Source organism: Homo sapiens, chromosome 2, assembly GCF_000001405.40.
Source record: "Homo sapiens chromosome 2, GRCh38.p14 Primary Assembly".
In the NCBI taxonomy this organism is placed as follows: Eukaryota; Metazoa; Chordata; class Mammalia; order Primates; family Hominidae; genus Homo; species Homo sapiens.
The window spans coordinates 205,177,815-205,192,636 of NC_000002.12; the positions used below are offsets into that span (position 1 = coordinate 205,177,815).

Below are 14,822 nucleotides of genomic sequence, written 5' to 3' on the forward strand. Positions count from 1 at the left end.
TATCTTCATTTTACAAATGAAGGTCTAGAAAGTCAGTAAATAATTTACTCACAAATGCATATTTGATACATGCACAGTCTGGATTCAATTCCTGTCTCCCTGTCCTCAGTTTGTCTTCCAAACCACAGCATGGGTCTGACTTATATTGGTCTATTGAAACTATTGGAGTCCTTTCACCTACTGAGAATGCCCATTAGAAGCTGACTTTAGACCGGGCACAGTGGCTCACGCCTGTAATCCCAGCACTTTGGGAGGCCGAGGCAGGCAGATCACCTAAGGTCGGAAGTTCGAGACCAGCCAGCCCAACATGGCAAAATCCCATCTGTACTAAAAAAAAAAAAAAAAAAAAAAAAAAAAAAAAAAATTAGTCTGATGTGATAGCACATGCCTGTAATCCCAGCTACTATGGGGGGGGAAAAAAAAAAGAAGAAGCTGACTTTACTTAGTATACAGATAAAAAAAAAATACTCAGTATGTCTTTTCTCATCTTAAAGAAATTATGGTGGCAGGCACCTGTAGTCCCAGCTACTCGGGAGGCTGAGGCAGGAGAATGGTGTAAACCCAGGAGGCGGAGCTTGCAGTGAGCCAAGATCGTGCCACTGTACTCTGGGCGACAGAGCAAGGAGACTCTGTTTCAAAGAAAAAAAAGAAATTAAAAATTTTCTTGACAGAACAAGATTGCCTTCTGAAATCTTAAATTGCAGTAGCAAAAGAGCCTGGGAAAGGAATGGCAAGTTTTCTGCAAAATAAAACAGTCTTCTTTCTACCTTATGATCACGAATGTGGACATTTGTATTAAAATATCTAGATTTCATGTAACTTGATTGGCATTTAATTCTCTAGCAACGTGTGGCCCAGTGTCTGTCTAAGTCTAGAGTTTAATTCCTAGTTACACCAGTGACATCTAAATGAACACTAAGTACCTTTTGTTTTTAATGTCTATAAAATACAGTTATGTGCCACATAATGACATTTTGGTCAACAACAGACCACATATATCATGGTGGTCCCATAAGATTTTAATGGAGCTGAAAAATTCCTAATGCTATACTATAATTTTTATCATCATTTTAGAGTACACTTCTACTTATTTTTTAAAAAAGGTAACTGTAAACAGCCTCAGGCAGTTCCTTTAGGAGGTATCCAGAAGAAGGCATTGTTACCATAGGAAATGACAGCTCTGTGCCTGTTACTGCCCCTGAAGACCTTCCAGTGGGATAAGATATGAAGGGGGAAGACAGTAATATTGATGATCCTGACCCTATCTAGGCCTAGGCTAATGTGTGTTTGTGTCTCAGGTTTTACCAAAAAAGTTTAAAAGGTTAAAAGAAAAAGTATAATAGAAAAAGCTTATAGAATAAAGATATAAAGAAAAAATATGTTTCTACAGCTGTACAATGTGTTTGTGTTTTAAGCTGTTATTAAAAAGATTCAAAAAGTTAAATTAAAATTTATAAAGTAACAAAGTTACTGAGATTGAAGAAAGAAAATATTTTTTAGAAATGTAGTGTAGCCTAAGTGCCTTGTGTCTGTAATGTCTATAGTAGTGTACAGTAGTGTTTTAGGCCTTCAGATTTACTCATCCTCACTCACTGACTCACCCAGAGCAACTGCCAGTCCTGCAAGCTCCATTCATGGTAAGTGTCCTATGCAGGTGTACCAATTTTTATCTTTTATACTGGATTTTCACTGTAGCTTTTCTGTTTACATACACAAATACCATTGTGTTGTAATTGCCTGTAGTATTCAGTAAATGCTATACAGGATTGTAGCCTAGGAGCAATAGGCTATACCACAGAGCTTACCAGAGTAAGCTAATCCTTCTAGGTTTGAGTAAGTACACTATGATGTTGATGCAAGGACAAAATTGCCTAACGAAGCTTTTCTCAGAATATATCCTCCTTAAGTGACACAAGATGTATTTTCTGAAGACATTGAGATACTTAAGTAAATGGAATAATATCTCTGCAAAGAATAGCAAAGGCTAAACTAATGAAACCATAGAAGTAGTTAATGTGTAAGGATACATCCAGAAAACAAAAAATAAGAAAATCCACTCCAAGTGCATGCTAAAAAATACAATACAATAATCATTTGGTTTGGAATTTCAATAGAATGTTCAGACTTTGTATATCTTCTGTACAAATAGAGTCCTTTGGGCACAAGTGGCCTCAGACAACCACTGGGAGATTTTGTCTCTTCTTTTCTTCCCAGGACGTAGATTTAGTTAGAACAATTTTTACATCAGTGAAAAAAATATATAAATTAACTATCTACAAGTTTCCTGTTTCTCTTTCTTCCAAAGTGACTCCATTAAACATTATTTTTTCAAAAGTAGAGAAAATCTATTATTATATTTTCTTTGTGGATCTGTGCTACCATACTAGATTATAAAATTTAGGCCTATCAAAACACAGACTTATTACATTTTCATTGTTAGAGGCCAGTAGATGAAATTTTCTTACTTTTTATGTAAGTCTATTGATTTAGAGACCAAAAAATTATAGCAGAATATATAAACATGATGCTATAAAAGAGTATCATGGCCATCACGTCTTTGTAATATTAATGGCATTTTATATTTAGGGAACTATTGGGAGTTCCTGAGTTTCAGATCCATGTCAGGTGGTAACAGGCCACTAAGGCTTATAAAACCTGAATGTTGATTGCCACTACCAGTTTTTTTAAGGATCTTCTTTAGAAAAACAAGATTAACTTGACAAAATGTAATGTCTAGTGAGGAGAGGAGCTGTTACAGCCAAAACATTGGCTTTTTTTTTTTTCTTTCCTTTTTCCTTTCCTTTGTATATTTAAGAATCCAATGTTGATATTCTGTGTTCCATTTATTTTTGTAATAATAGTACATACCACCCACAGTTCTTGGTTTTTATTTTTTTTATTCCTGTCAAGCTGTTACACAGAAAAAAGGCATTTTTAGAACTAATGTTTATAGAAATCGTAATACCAGAAAATTCACATTTGTACTGAAGAATTGCTAGCAATGCCGGTAGTGAAATAAGTGTGGTGCTTCAAGATGGTAATAGGGATGGAGGCTGTGTCCCAGGGGCTTCCTATAAAATCCTGTTAAGCATTTGAATGGTAATGAAATGCACCAACACTGTATTTTCTGAGGAATCTTGCTGGCAGATCTTACCCTGGGCCGAGGAATAGCCTCATGCAGTTTGCCTCTGGTTAGCATTACCTCTCATTTCACTGCACTTGTCTCCCCTATATAGCTCTTTTCCTGCTTCTCCTTTTTCAGCTCAAGTGCACTCCTGTCTTAGGCACCCACTGCCCCCAAATCTGCCCAGCATCACCCACTGGGTTAGGCCTTTCATCTCCATCTCAAATCAAATGTGGTGGTTCTGTGACCTGTCTCTCTGGATCCGTATTCCCTGGGGTCCTCTGAGACACATCATAGTAGAATTATTTCTAATGTGTATCTTTCTGGGGACCAGCATGTATCTACCCCTCTATAGCATGTAAAGCACTACGTCTGGAATGACTATCCAAGATTGAATTATACGTTTCAATTTGGCTAATGTTTATTGGATACCTCCATTGTGCAGAATACACTATCAGGAGTGGTGAATGCAGTAGTATTATTGTCCTTAAGAATAGTCTGAAGCAGGAGTCAAAAAACTTTGTCCTTAAAGTGCAAGATAGTAAATATTTCAGGTTTTGGACTGTAGGTCTCTGTCATCACTCAATTCTGCCATCGTAGAGCAGAAGCACTCATGGACAATACATAAACAAATAGGCATGGCTATTCAGTAAAACTTTATTTGCAAAGGCAGGTGGCAAGCTGGTTTTGGACCAGGGCCATAGCTTGCTGACCTGTTGTCTAAAGTTACAATCTCTTTTACTCATTCTTTTCTGATGTGGCCTTGGTAGGATAGATCCCACAACACAAATAACAACAAAAGATGATAATTAAAAAGAAGAGCCATTTGGCCATCAATGAAGTAATGACTACAGGGAGTGCTGTGTCAACATTTACAGGCATAGATATATACGAAATGACCATCAAGAAGACTGTACCTCGTACACTCAATGAAATCCAGAAATATTATTATAGGAGATAAGAGTTCCAGACTTTTACACTGAAACAAGGGCTTAACAAAGGTGTCTGGGCCCAGAAGAAAATAAAAATTCCTTACAGCATCTGAATATGTTGTTTAAAAAATGTAACAAGGGGCCGGGTGTGGTGGCTTACGCCTGTAATCCCAGCACTTTGGGAGGCCAAGGCAGGCAGATCACGAGGTCAGGAGATCAAGATCATCCTGGCTAACACAGTGAAATCCCTTCTCTACTTAAAATACAAAAAATTAGCTGGGCTTGGTGGCAGGTGCCTGTAGTCCCAGCTACGCGGGAGGCTGAGGCAGGAGAATGGCTTGAACCCGGGAGGCGGAGTTTGCAGTGAGCCAAGATCGCACCACTGCACTCCAGCCTGGGTGACAGAGTGAGACTCTGTCTCAAAAAAAGAAAAAAAAAAAAGTAACAAGGATAGAGAGTCAACAAATAAGATACTTACCTCAACAAACAAGGTACTTACCTCTACACCGATCACCACTTTAAAAAAAAACACTGAAAAACACATAAACACATAAAGAACGATAAATGGTTCACATGAGTGTAATAAAAATTAAATTTAATGATTGTAATAAAACTAGCTAGAGAAGAGACTGTAGAAGACATGGAAAAACGAGAAAGAGGAACACGAGGAGAAAGTTATCTACAGTCTAGTAAAAGAAATAGACATAGATAAATAGATAATAGCTTGATAGAACAATAAATACATACATAGTTCATTGCAAAAGTGGCATTTGATAAATGCTATCCAAGAATTACTTTACATAATATTAAGTAATAGATAAACCTAAAGTGTCACTGGATAGATAAAGACAGTGAAAGTCTATTTCCTGGTCCTGTCACTGCACAATGAGGTTTGGCAGCTGTGCTCCATGCAGTGATTACAGGACCTAGGCTCCTTCCACTGGTGGCTGGGCACCTCGTCACCTGGCTTTCAGGTGATGTAGATGGGGAAAGGAAGAGAGAGTGAGGAAGCTGCACCCTCTCATAACCACTGAGACTGGGAATGACATTTATCATAGCAGCCCACATTCCATTTGCAAGAACTAGTCTAGGGACAAAGAGGCCCTAGCAATGGTGTCCAGCCGTATGCCCAGGAAGAGAGGAAGAGCACGGATAGAGTGGGCACTGGTCTTCTTGGCCACTGTTATAAAAGTGACAGATCCTTGGCAACAGCGAAGGCTTCATAGTAAAAGTGATATTTGGGTGGACCTTGGGAGAAGGGTAGGATTTTGACAGGTAGAGTAGGTTTTGCAGTTACATAAGCAAAGATACTGAGGCAGGAACACCCAGGGGTGTTGGCAGGGAATGGTAAGCTAACGGGTAATGGGAGATAAAGTTGTTTGCCAGGATCATAGACCTTTATTCCGTAGGCAATGTGTGCAGCTGAAGTGATTTTGAGCAACAAGTTACATGATCACAAATACGTTCACCATCACTGTGGAAGATGGACTGAGAGGTTGAGGATAGAAGATGAGAGCCAACAGAAAGGAAGTTGTCCCAGGATGTCCATTGTCCCCAATTTACATTACAGTCCTTCTGTTCTGTTTCTCTTAGCAAGTCTTGAATGCCTGACTGCTGCCACCACTAACAAATCAATGGGCCCCTAGGGTTGGAGGTGGTGCAGGGGCACAGTGCAGGCGCTGCCTTTGTGCTTCTTTCCCCCTGGTCACCTACTTAGCAGGTCTGCTTCAAGCTTCATCCCCAGGGGCATGTCAGCTGTGCTACAACTACCTCCACATCAGTCTAGTGCCTGGGGCAGAGCTTGGAGCAAGTCCTTGCCTTGTGTATTTCTCAGGGTTCTGCAGAGAAACAGAACCAAGTTGTGTGTGTGTGTGTGTGTGTGTGTGTGTGTGTGTGTGTGTGTGAACAGATTTATGATAAGGAATTGGCTCACATGGCCATGGAGACAGGCACATCCCAGGATCTGCAGGATGAGTCAGCAAGCTGGGGTTGCAGAAGAGTTGATGGTGCAGATTGAGTCTGAAGGCCGGAGAACCAGAAAAGCTGGTGGCGTGGTTTCAGTCTGAAGACAAACGGGCTTGAGACTCAGGAAGAACTGATGTTTCCGTTTGGGTCTGAAGATAGAAAAAAGCCAATGTCCCATGTCAAAGTCACTCAGTCGGGGAATTCTCTCTTATTCAGGAGAGAGGCAATCTTTTTTGTTCTATTCATGCCTTCACGTGATTAGACAAGGCCCACCCCATTAGAGGGGACAGTCTACTTATTTAAATGTGAATCTTGTTTAAAAACACCCTCACAGAAACTCCCAGAATAATATCTAGGTACCCTGTGGCCCAGTGAGATTGACATATAAAATTAACCATCATATCCAGCACGTGGACAAGCCAAAGCAGGTTTTATCACCAACAGCAGTTCTCAAGGGTAGAGATATTTGTCCCTTATTCTGTCATTCAGGGACAAATCAGGTACATATCTTATCAAATATGTCACTGTAATAGATACAAGTAGAACTTACAATCTATGGAATAATAATCCTCTGTTTACTTAACAGTATGCATTTACAAATCACTGCTTAAATATAATTTAGTTTGGCCCGGCGCGGTGGCTCACGCCTGTAATCCCAGCACTTTGGGAGGCGGAGATGAGTGGATCATGAGGTCAGGAGATCAAGACCATCCTGGCTAACACGGTGAAACCCCATCTCTACTAAAAATACAAAAAATTAGCCAGGCGTGGTGGCGAGCGCCTGTAGTTCCAGCTATTCGGGAGGCTGAGGCAGGAGAATGGCGTGAACCCAGGAGGCAGAGCTTGCAGTGAGCCAAGATCGTGCCACTGCACTCCAGCCTGGGTGGCAGAGCGAGACTCCATCTCAAAAATAATAATAATAATAAATATATACACACACACACACATATATATATATATAAATAAAATTTAATTCTCATATTCCTCCAGTAAAGGTATTCTTGTTGCCACTTGATGGCTTTAAAAACTGAGGCTTGGAGAAGTTGAGTAATTTGCCAAGTTCACACAGCAGTAGGGTTGGAAACATGGCAGTCTTGCTCCAAAAACCATGCACTTTACCACGATGTTATATAATGCTTTTCATACACTAGGGAATATGGTTAGTAATTATGAGCATTCAATGAAATAATATACAAGGCTTAATATAATGTCTGCTGTATAATAAGATCTCAACAACCTTACTTGTTAGTTGTGGTGATATTAGAGATACATGTCTATTCTTATAGTACAGAACAAACTGGAAAAGTATACATTTTTAGTAGATGGGAAAACCAGGATTTAGACCCCTGTCTTTTCCTTATAAGGCCTTAAACTCAGATGTCTCCATTATGGCACAGATAGAAAAAAAGAGCGCACGTTTGTGTGTTTGTGTGTGTGTGTGTGTGTGTTTATCTCCACTATGTCTAAATGGTGGACAGATATACTATATCGTGATTTTTTAAAAGAAGTTTTTGCTACTGAAGCAAATGCTTTAATCACCATATAATCCAGAGTATTCACTATAGAGACTTGTTTACAAAAATATTAAGGCATAAAACAGATGACTTTGTTAATCTTCCACAAATCACAGGTAATGAGTATGTGTCAGCCTTTTGTTGGTGGGAAAAGGTAGTCAAGATCTGTGGAGTGGGTTTGCTAGGGGTTGCCTGCAGGTCACCAGTGTAAAAACATATTAGCAGGCTTAGATTTCCTCATACAAGCAGTATTCATTCTCATAAGGATCCTTCAGTTCTGTATGAGAACTTATTTATTTCAGGGCTGGTTTATGTGTTGGCTAAAACTGCGTCTGAGAGAGATACTGAAACCAAACCAGGCATCGAATGGTTCTGCTTCCACTTTATACAGCTTCATTTGTTCTTTGTTTATAGGTCTATTGCTGCCCAATGACGGATGGGCCGAGAGTGAAGTTCCACCTTCTCCAACACCACATTCTGCTCTGGGATTGGGCCTCGAAGATTACAGCCACAGGTATTGATAAAATGATGTATCGTAAATGCTCCTTGTTATTGTTTTTCTGGGAGAACACAGCAACCTTATTCAGCAAACTTATTTTAACTCTATTTCTTTCTGGAATGGAAATCTTATAGTATCTATAATTCCTTTCCAGCGAAAGCTTCAGTGAAAGTTTCTCATAGCTAATAGCTTAGATTGGGCATATTTTGCTTCCTGGTATTTGTTAAGATTCACCTTAAATTATTAAAATATTTAAGAAAATGGTTGAACTTTCATTTACAAATTTAAAAACTAGAGCCATGGAGCTCAAAGAAAAGTGACATGGGAAGGTATAAAACAAAACTGAGAAAATAGGAAGCTTATGGGTTTTTATTAGTAATTGGCAAACCCTAGAGGTATTTTAAAAATAGATGTTCCAAGAAAGTTAATGGAATCTAAAAATTAAAGCAACACCATATATAATCTAAAATATTGAAGAGGGTACCCAATATTATATCCATTCTGTAATAGAAACTAAAAAAATCAATAATTTTTAGAATCACACAAGAATGAGAGAGATTTACTAAGCATACATACTATTTGACAAGGGGAATTCATAGATTTTGTTCTTCTGATGAGTTTTAAAAATCATTAAATTGTCCCTTTGCTATTTTCTATATTTACTATGGCTGTTAGAAACTGTGTATTTTATTCCATTCTGTGTCCCATGATAATCCTGTGAAATTTCTTCATTTTTCTTGCAGCAATGCTAGTGTCATTCCTATTATGTTTTTTAATACAGTCTGCTAAAAATAAAGCAGCATGCCTTAGAGTATAGCTAACTGTATTAGGTGGAAGCTCACCTATATTTAGCTATCTCTGATTCTTATACTTTTGAAGTCAGTTATCTTGCTAACTACAGTTTCGTGAACTAGATTGATAATCATAATAATATTCTAGATCAATGTCTCTAGGGGTTTCATAAAAGAAAATGTGGACCTATTTAATTTTGTCCATTCATTTCCATTGCCTGCCTCGATTCTGAATTGAAAATGACAATTTGGTGGCATAAAAAAAGCCATTTAAAACATAATTTCATTTGTTCTACCTTACTGTTTATCCTGTATATATGTGCAAAATGTTTGGGATGGTGCAAAGCTGAATCAGATATAAACCCTGTCTTCAGGAAGCTGGTAGGCTGACAGGTAGGCTCATGGGACGACTGGAACACAAGGGTTCCAAGTGATATTTACCAGAAGGTATAGATAAAATGCTCTGAGCATCTGAGGCAGAGGAGAATGCCTCCAGATAAAGGAATCAGGGAAAATACTATGGTAAAAGTGTCATTTGAGCTGAACCCTAACTCATGAATAGCAGGTGGACATGAGATGAGCCCAGGAAGAAAGGGCATTTCGGGAGGGAAGAGCAGCAGAAGAAACAGCATAGAGACGGGAGAGTAAATTGAATTGTACAAGGTGGAGCTGATCAGCCAGATGATAAAGCCCAGAGTGCAAGAATAAGGTATGCAGACTTCATTTGGTAGATAGTCAATCTTATTGCAGGGTTTTCGCAGGTAATACACAGAATGAAACCTGGGTTTTTTGTGTGTGTATAACATGGATTGGGTGAATGGAAGAGGTTTGATATCCCCTGGAAGCCAGGACTCTTTGGATACCTTTTAGGGCAACTGCAGTCAGAGGTACTGAGCATCTGTGCAGGGGAGGCTAGAGAGAAGCACTCAGATGAGAAACCTTCAAGGGAGAGAGGTGGTTCAGAGATCACCTGGGATTTAGCAACTGTCTTTTTGGCTTCAAAGTCTCCACGGATTTCTTTCCTTCCCTTTTCTGCAAAGCCATTCCTTTGTGAATTGGGGAGAGAAAAAAGTTTATATTGCTCCTCGCTGCTGTAAATCTTCATTACATGGTATGAACTAGTAACTTCCATCTTCTTTTCACGTCTTCCTTCCTAGTCCCGTGTGTTTTAGGCCTCTGTTCTCACTTCTTTATTAGAACTGCTCTCTTAATCATCAACGGTAATCTCCTTTCAGTCAAAAGTATGACGTTGTCTTAGACTTCATTCTTCTTTTCCACTCTGCAGTATTTGGTTATTAAGTCATTTATTCACTTACTCATCCATTCAAAAGTATTTCTGGAGCTCTGAGCCAGACACTGTAGAAAGAACTCAAATGGATTGGAAAGCATCCCTGCCTGCAAGAAATGCAGCGTCCTCTTAGAGACAGACACGCAGATAATTAGGATGCAGCCAGCTAAGCATTAGATACAAAATGCAATGGGAGCCTAGAGGAAGAAGCCACTAACTTTGCCTGGAGTTGTCAAGTAAGTTTTCACAGGAGAGCAGTGTTTAAGCAGTTTCTTGGAAAACGGAAGAAAGCTCTCTAGACAGAGAAGTGGCGGGAAGGGCAATTTAGGTTAAGGAAACCAGGGATGGGAAAGAATGCAGAGTGTGTTCAGTGTGGCTAAAGCTTGTGGTATCTCAGGGAAGAATCAATGGGAAGGGCATTGTCTGTCCTGCTCCATGGGTGCCATGCTTCTCCGGAGAGCAGTGGAGAAGCATTGAAGCGCTTTGAGCCTGGAGATGACAGTATCAGGCAGAGCAGTTTCAGTGATGGAGGGTGGAGGGAATGGCAGAAGCCGCCATAGACAAGGAGGCTGCTCCGACTTGGGACTAGCAAGAGAAGAGCAGGGCCTGGATGGAGGGATCAGAAGCATGGGTGGAGAAGAAAGGGCAGAGATATTTTAAAAATGGAAGGAACAAGTCTTAAGCCTTGAAACTCTCCCCTCCTAGGATCGTGTGACCTGCACCATCCTGCAAGCTGCTGCGTTGCCTAGGTGACCAGCAGCAGCAGGGGTTGGATGTGTGAAACTTGGGATGGAGGAAGGACTGGAAGGGAGCCAGGAGGATTGAGCAAGAAAGGCTCTCCTGCCTTCTGCCTTTCAAAAAAAAAAAAAAAAAAAAGGAAAAGCCCTCTCAAAGGAAAAAAGGGTGTTGGAGGGATGAGGCTAATCTTGTAAAAGAGAAAACTGCTATGGCGTGAGGAAAGAAAAACAAATTTGATCAAACTTAATGCCTGTACAAAATGAAATCAGGAAATTGCTCAACCTATTTTTACTATTATGCAATGATTATTACAGAAAAGTTTATAATATGTGGGTCTAAGTAATAAATAAATATAAAGGAAATAAACTTACTGTGAGATCTCAGGCAGAGTTGAAGCTAAATCAGCAGCAGACAGAATATATCGAATATTATTAACAGTTTAGACAACATTGGGCTATTCCCCACATGTTCATATTCTCTTTCTCTCTCTCTCTCTGTCTGTTTCTTCATGCACATACCTGAAACTACTCTCACTCATAGAAGCCAATTGTTGAAGTCCATCTGTGGACACCTGAGACTTCAGACATCATGGTTTTTGTCTTGCCTCTCAAAATCTTCATCCCCCACCTTTTCACCTCAGACAGTTCTTGAACATTCATTGTTGGCTCTTATACATCTTTTACATTCCTGGTTTGTCACCATAGTCAAACACTGGCATATGTTTCATGCTACCCTTACTTATTCATTAGGCAGCATAATTTGACGTTGAGTATCGTTTCTATTTGGTAGATTCTCTGGTCGTTCATGCTGAAAACACGGCCTTTATCTAAGACATGTCTTTGGCCTGCTGTCAACTTCCAGCTTCCAACAGCCTTCACTGCAGCCCACTCAGCCATGAGCACATGCTAACTCCCTTCAAAATTAAAATGTTGTATTTCATAGTTAATCATTGTGTCACCCTCTTAATGCAAACACTCGAGATATGTAGCGTAAAGTTACAAACCGTTTTACTAGTCTAACTTACATGTCTAAAATATTTTCACATGAACTAACTCAATACGGCACTCACTCATTATTCTGGTGCTCTATATGCCCACATTGGCTCTAATCCTATGACTTATATTACACTCACTTGCCTCCTTAATATCCATCAATCTGATATCAGCCTTATTTGCCTTATTTCCATTTTGTACCGCAGCAAAGGGGGGGCCCTTTTATGAAACGTTTTCAAAGTGTACACTTGGTCACAATCAAAATGATGGTAACATATATGTGTATGTATATAGATAGATATGTAGATATCTCATTATGATCAATTTAAAGGACATAATCAGATGTGTACATAAGAGCATTTGTTACATTCATATGTACAGTGCAGCCTTTTATTTCTTTGATCCTTCTTGATTATATGCCAACATTTGTATAAAAGTTCACTTTATTAGACAGATCCTAGCTTGATGTTACTGCATCGAGTGTCATTGCCACCTTACTTTTTAAACGGGGATTGGGATCATTGCTACCTAAGAGTCTGGGAAAATTTGAGCTCTTATTCCTAATTTGTGAATTAACACCTGGCTTAAGAGGATAAACTAAGACAATGAGTCAGGTTCACCAACACATTGTTCAGTTGGGTAGATTCTCAGTCTGCCTTGAGCAGAGCACTTTAAATGCAATCTGATCTATGTTTTAATGAGGGTCCTACACCTCCTCCCTGGAGGCTTTCACTGCTTTGATTAAGGATTTAGTTTTCTATTATTGCATGATGTGCACCATTCTATTGAAACAAAAAGCAAACCTAAAATGTAAGCCACATAGTAAAAGGTGAGCAAGTCTTCACTAAAAGTGAAAGGCTTGATTTTTGCGGATTCGGGATCAGCAACAACCTGTGTCCCAGGCTGGCCACCATTTCAGCCAGATCTTCTGGCTCTGGTCCCAGCTTTGCCCCTGGCCAGCTGTGTGACCTGGCAATGCCAACTCTCCTCTTTGAGCCTCAGGGTCTTATCTGAGAGATGAGGTGACCTTTAATCCCTTCTGGCTCTTAAACTTTTTGATTCTATGAAGGCCATGAGTCTTTCTGACACTAAACCCACATCATCACAACAGATCAAAGGATGGAAAACTTAAGTGCAAATAAAGGTCGAATAACACATTTAAAGGCAAGTGCTTCCAAACACCAAGACTCAGGGGAAAGCTCATGTTTGCAGTAGTGTCTCAGAATTCTTCTATAAAATGGGCTGAAAAAATGAAAGTATTGCTATTAGGCCAGGCTAGTGTCAATAACACTAAGTGGGTCCAGGATTTTTGTTCACAATTGGCATATTTTGTCATTACTAGATACCATATCTAATACACTTTATATATCAATGGCTTCGTGTATTGAGAATGTACCCAGACACCAGGAAAGAAATAGAAAAAAAAAAAAAAAAGGCTACATAACCCTAAAGAGAGGATTTAAACTTCTTGAGAAATTTTTATGAAAACATGTGAAATCTCTTCATTGGCAAATGCCTTAGGCCCTCATTCGAAGACCATACTAACCTACAGAAATAAAGAAAAGGATTCTTAATAGCTCAGGTTGATCAAGCTCTTACTGTGTGCTAGGTACTTTTCTCAATATATAACGTAACTTACGTATCTTACAAAAATTTTAAAGAGTCATAAATTCTATTCTTATCCATTTTATGGATGAGGAAACTGAGGCCACTCACCCTGACATTTTCCTACAGGGGCCACTCTCCTAACCATCAAACCACATCACCCTTCTAAATAGAAAGAGAAAAGGGCTCCTAGTCACAGACTTGCTGAGAGTCTGACAAAAACAGAGATGTCAAAGAAACTGTAAAAAGCACAGGTAATGGGAAAAACTCAGAAATTTATAGTGTTTTGGGAAGCAAAAGTAGGACATTTTACTGATCTGCTTATTTGTTAACTTACCTAATTTATCTGTTTCTATAGCACATACTCTGTACCAGACCCTAATGTCCTTACTTTACAAATCTTCACTCATTCTATTCTCTCAACAACCTTGTGAGGTAGAGAGTGTAATTTTACTCATTTTATACATAAGGAAATTGAAGCCCAGAGAGGTCCAGTAAGTCTCTTAGTTGACACTGCTAGTAAGTACCGGAGCCAGGATTTAGAGTGGGCCAGACACACCACAGTGCTGTGCTGGTTGATGGGTACTTCCTTTCTGGGGGAGGGTGGAGGAGATGAGGTCTACCTTTGTCACCCAAGCTGGAGGGAAGAGGTGCAATCTTAGCTCACTGCAGCCTCAAACTCCTAGACTCAAGTGATCCTCCAGCCTCAGACTCCCAAGTAACTGGGACTACAGGTGCATGCCACCACACCTGGCTAAACAGGTACTTCCTTAATTTACCCACGGCATTATAAAAAGGGAGGTTCATTTATTCATTTGGCAATACTATTATTGCTGCATACTAATTTTAATATTGCTTGAAAGCAGTATTGAATATGGAGGGATGATGAGTTTCAAGAAAAGATTAAACTTATTTTGGTATTTCAGGTCGAGATTCTCTTGTACATTTTAGAAGGATTTTCTTTCAAAACAGTTATTTTTGCTATTGTTTTGTTGTTTATAGTATCAAACTCCAACTGTTTGAAAAACCCAACATCAATACTTTAGATTTTGTAAGGATACATGATTTGGATTTTCACTATATTTGGGATTAGAATAGCAATTATAATGAGATGAGCCACCATATTTACTTTCCAAACAGATGAGAGTGCCAAGGTAAGAAAATGGCTATAATTTAGTTTATTAAAATTATATAAATTTATTTCTAAAACAAGAACTAAGTCATTGTCTGTAATTCTCTTATGTAATACCCTCTATCCTCAAGCAAAATAAATAAAATATTCAGCAGAAGGAAAGTTATTTGAGATTGCCTACAAGTACTAAGAAAACTATAATGGGCATTTGATGTATCTTGTGTCTTAATTGTCAACTGTGC

General features: G+C 39.1%; 1 protein-coding gene across 18 annotated transcripts in view; it reads left to right on the top strand.

Annotated features, from left to right (window-relative positions):
* PARD3B (par-3 family cell polarity regulator beta) overlaps positions 1–14,822 on the top strand; it is a 1,074,688-nt gene that overhangs the window by 632,340 nt on the left and 427,526 nt on the right. For 17 of the 18 annotated variants that reach the window (XM_047443208.1, NM_001302769.2, NM_205863.4 and 14 more), the window contains one exon: positions 7,950–8,049. In XM_047443208.1, the coding sequence (XP_047299164.1) occupies positions 7,950–8,049 (100 nt within the window). Of the gene's footprint in view, positions 1–7,949; positions 8,050–9,387; positions 14,095–14,822 lie in introns of those variants that run through there. The other variant, XM_017003294.2, reaches the window with a different exon arrangement.